Raw genomic sequence first — 4,833 nt, 5'->3', positions numbered from 1 at the left:
CCGTTTTCCCTACACATATTGTAAGCCACTTCAACTCCTTTTTGAAACAAATAAATATAAATTAGTCATGTTTATTTCATCAGGCTTCATGTTTATAAGGATAATTTGCTCCTATATTTATCTAAATCTTTTAACAATTTGTGTATATTTTAATACTCATTGAGTTTGTACAAGAATAAAAACACCCTTAAAACTATGTTAATAGCATTTTCTTATCTCCAATTTTTATTGAATTAGGCAACAAAGAAACCTTGAAAAATCCTCTTATTTTTCTTTTAGCTCAAAGATTCGTGAGGATTTTTCAAGCAAAGGTAAGTAATAAGATAAATAAAAAGATTTCTAAAGGGGATACAAATTAATAAACCACAAGAAACTTCACTAATCCAGTATAGAAAATTAGTTCTTAAGAAATTTCTTGGTAATCCACTTTTCAAAGTTCTCCAGTTTGTTCAGTAACAATATAAATTTGTATTGGTCCCAGAGGAAGTCACCTCTCTATAGCAAGGTTTCAGTGTTTAGCTTATAATTAAGTACTTGAAATACTTGAGAATATGATTATTGGGGCATCAACCCATTGCATAATATTTTTTTTCTTCTTCCCTCAGATAAATACTATGAGTGTGTCAGCATGAGCCACAGAGTTGAGATACATTATGCATAGTGAATTGGTCAGTATTATCTCCACTCTCTTAGGAGACAAAGTTGAGATTATACAAATTAAGCCACTTTGTCATTCTTTGATTTCCTTACTTGGTTCCACATGCTTAAGAATGGAATTACTTCTCCAAAGGTAAAATCAAGGACACATTTTACTCTATAGACACTACAGACATACATAAGTATATAAAGGTAATATTCCATTTACTTAGGAAAACATGCCATTTAAAGTGAAACTAGGGTGGGTGCAGTGGCTCATGCCTATAATCCCAGTGAGTTGGGGGACAGAGGCAGGAAAACCGTTTGAGATCAGGAGTTTGAGGCCAGCCTGGCAATATAGCAACACCCTATATCTGCTAAAATAAAAAACATAAAAATTAGCCAGGCATGGTGACATATGCCTGTAATCCTAGCTACTTGGGATATTGACACAGGTGGAGCACTTGAGCCCAGAAGTTCAAGGTTACAGTGAGCTATAATCACAACACTGCACTCCAGCCTGGGCAACAGAGTGAGTCCTGTGTCTAAAAACAATAAAAAATAATAAAGTGAAACTAATGTGAGCAATGTGGGAGAGCATATAGCATTTTAAAGAGACAGGCAGTTTTAGAAGTGGTTTAATTCAGGTCCCTTATTTTGTAGATGATACTGCTGGCCAGAAAGCTGAGTGATTTTCCTCAAAGTCATGAAGCAGGTCAAAACTCAGGCCCTCTGATGGCCCAAATCTGCACATAAGTATCAATACCTCTTTGAGAGAAAATGCTTTTGTCACCTTCCATAATATCTTTTGATCATAGGGAGTATTTGTTATATAATTACCTTTATATTAGGTTGGTCCAAAAATTGTGGTTTTTGCAATTAAAATGCCAAAACAGCAATTATTTTGCATCGACCTATTATGTTCTTTTAAAAAATTATTCTAAATGCAACTTTTTGGGACAGTGGTTTGTATTTGAATCATTTTGCCATGTCTAATTAGTGGCATTAATGAACTTTCTATTCACATAAGAATATTCAACAAACACATTTCACTGGGCATAGACAAGGGTAGGAATGAATTATAGAAAAAAACACTAAAAATAAAATCATGAATTTGTAGGAAATTTTCTTCTCAGTTGTGTGTGCCTTCATATTTATTTCAGGCATCTTCTATACAAAATTTGTCCAGATACCAACATTAACTAGATAAAATGTAGATACTAACATTAACTATTCGGGAAGTAATTTGGTAGCAAATGACAGAAAAAAAACAAGCAAAATTAATTGATTAAAACTGTGCATTTATTGACTCATATAACTTGAATGTCTAGGAGTATTTTTAGGACTGGCTAGCTACAGAAAATAAAACAATGTCAAAAAAAGCTTTCTTGCTTGTGCCATTACATTTTCTACATTGCTATGGCTTGGTTAAATTCTTAGCTCCCCCTACAAGGTAGAAAGATAGCTGCCTACACTACACAGGTTATAAATCATCCTAAGAGCAACTCCAGTGGGGCAGGTAGAAGGATATTATCTTCAGCAGTTCCAAGAAAAATCCTAGAATCTAACCCTCAGAACTCTGATTGGATCATCTACTCAACCCTAAATTAATCCTTGGAATCTGTTTGCTTAAGCCTGGTCAAAAGGCCACTCACAGAGCAGGGTTCAACTCCATCTCATTCAAAACACATAGAGTGTAAATGGAAAAAGCAATAATGCTTTTGCCAGAAGTAAAAATGAAAGTTGAGCAGGCCAAAAATGATAGATATCTTCTGCAGTGTATTTGCTAGGCAGGGAAGAAAGTTTGGAGCTTCTTTCCCTACCTTATCTCCCTATTTTTGCCCCATAAGAAGTCGCTATGGATTATTTTCTACTACACTGACTGGAGCACATACAAATAATAGGTGGAGTCACAATGTGGCACCAGATTTCATATGGACATAGCCCTCAGCCTAACTCCCTCTGTCCATGGAACAGAAATGCTAAGTAGTAGATCTGTTTTCAAAGTAGAAGACTTGGCTTATCATGTTTTCGCCCATTTCTCTCTATTCCATTTCTCTATTACCATCACAGTGGTAAAACTCAAGCAAAGATTTGATGTTGTAGAAGGGGAGTTTGAAAACAAGATAGAGAGCAGTCTTTATTTAGAGTTAGGACTGAAACTTTTTAGGCCTACCTAGTTTAAGGAAGTGCTCCCTGTGATCTAGCACCAATGTAGATTACTATTATCAGCTATCCACTCACTCCCTGTGATCCAGCCCCAGCATGGATCACTATTATCAGCTGTCCACTCTCTCCTTATAATAGAATTATTCATTCACGCCCTTTTCCAAGCAGCTTTTTAATGCCTTTCTGTTGAAGTGAACTCCTGTGTCTCTCCAAATATGGGTTTAGCTATATGATTTGTTTTGGCCAATCATATGTGAGTGAATATAATCTGTGATGCATCAAATCAGAGGCTTTAAATTAGCTCAAATGGTTTGCCTTGTGCTTTTGTGCTTCTGCCATCTGTCATCAGATTTTGCCTGGGTCCTAGAATGAGAGACATGTGGAGCAGACATGAATCTGAGTTTCAGACTAAAGAAAGCCACTCCAGCCAACTGCCAGACCTGTGAGTGAGACAGTGTCTCTTGTTGTAAATTACTGGCATTGCTGGGTTGTTTGTTAAGCAGACTTATCATGCAAAACTGACTAAAACTACATCTTATATAAGTTGTCTGCAATGCAACAACTTGGTCAATTTGAGCCAAAAACAAATCTAAGAAAAACATTATTTTAAGATATTAGAGGGATAACTCACATGCTCTGTTTTCAGAGCACTGTTGGGGTATTGCATTTGTTTTAAGACTAATAACCAAAGTAGAATCAAATTACCTCAATGTCATCACTTGCTTCTCTCCAGCAGTTTGAAGTTGATATATTAGTCATTGAGGTATTTTTAACATGCCCTCTCTTCTATCTTCTTTCCTCCTATTATACAGCTGGCCTCAGACTTCTCATACCAAATGTTCTTTCCTTCAAACCCACACACCTCACCCTAATCTAAATCTTTCAATCCTTGTGCTACACTCTGTTTCCTTTCTAATTCAATTGACAAAGCAGCAAAGAACATTTCTGGCAAACAAGGATTTCCCTGGAAAACTGGACAGGACAGATTAGGGCAAACCAGAATTCTCTTTCCCTGGCAGGAAGAGAAAACAGCCACACTTGTCCACAGGCTTTCCCTACAAACTGCATGGGGAGAAGAAATTAGTCATGGCCAGTACGGGGGCATTTCCATTCCCCTCATCCTGTTCATGTCAGTCAACCAATGTTATCTTAATAAGAAAAATTACAAGTCATTCTCTTTTTCTATGTGCCTGTACTTTATTGAATTTTTAATTATAAAAAGAAATGTTTTATTGTAAAAAATTAAACAATGCAGTTATTTCAAAAAGTTAATCAACTATTAATTCCTTTTCTCCAACATCTCTGAAGTAATCAGTGTCAAATGTTAATTGCACAATTTTTGAAATATTTATTTATGTTTGTACTAACATATGATTTTCTACTTTTTTCTATAAAATGACCTCTGTTATACACTTTTATCTAAGATTTTTTTTTCTGTCTATATATGATAACATATGATGGACATCTCTTCAAGTAAATACATGTTGAAATCTAACTCATTTTTAATCAAAAATAGCTACATAAGTCTTTAGTCCATTTTAATTTGTTTTCTGTATATGGTGAGAAGTAGAGGTCTAGTTTCATTCTTCTGTATATGGATACCCATCACCATTTGTTAAAGAGACTGTCTTTTCCCTATGTATGTTCTTGGCACCTGTGTCAAAAATGAATTGGCTATCAATGCATAGATTTATTTCCAGGTTATCTATTCTGTTCCCTTGGTTATATGTCTATTTTTATGTCAGTACCATGCTTCTTTGGTTAGTATAGACTTGTAGTATAGTTTGAAGTCTGGTAGTGTGATGCCACCAGCTTTGTTCTTTTGGCTCAGGATTGCTTTGACTACTTGGGTTTTCTGTGGTTCCATATAAATTTTAGAATTGTTTTTCTATTTGTGTGAATAATGTCATTAGTATTTTGAAATTAATTGTATTGAATCTGCAGATAACTTTGGATAGCATGGACTTTTTAACCATATTATTTTTTTCAATCCATGAGCATGGCATATATTTTCATTTTGTGTGTGTG

General features: G+C 35.0%; 2 annotated features.

The window, feature by feature from the left end:
• Positions 2,918-2,967: an enhancer, noted in NCBI's record as "active region_16841". NCBI's record gives its function as "activates an Ori minimal core promoter by ATAC-STARR-seq in GM12878 lymphoblastoid cells {active_cell/tissue: GM12878}" and the evidence as "EXISTENCE:reporter gene assay evidence [ECO:0000049][PMID:35858748]".
• Positions 3,038-3,117: an enhancer, noted in NCBI's record as "active region_16840". NCBI's record gives its function as "activates an Ori minimal core promoter by ATAC-STARR-seq in GM12878 lymphoblastoid cells {active_cell/tissue: GM12878}" and the evidence as "EXISTENCE:reporter gene assay evidence [ECO:0000049][PMID:35858748]".

This window comes from Homo sapiens, chromosome 2 (genome assembly GCF_000001405.40).
Source record: "Homo sapiens chromosome 2, GRCh38.p14 Primary Assembly".
Lineage (NCBI taxonomy): Eukaryota > Metazoa > Chordata > Mammalia > Primates > Hominidae > Homo > Homo sapiens.
Note: the sequence above shows the minus strand (reverse complement) of the source record. Positions and strands in the feature narration are given on the sequence as shown.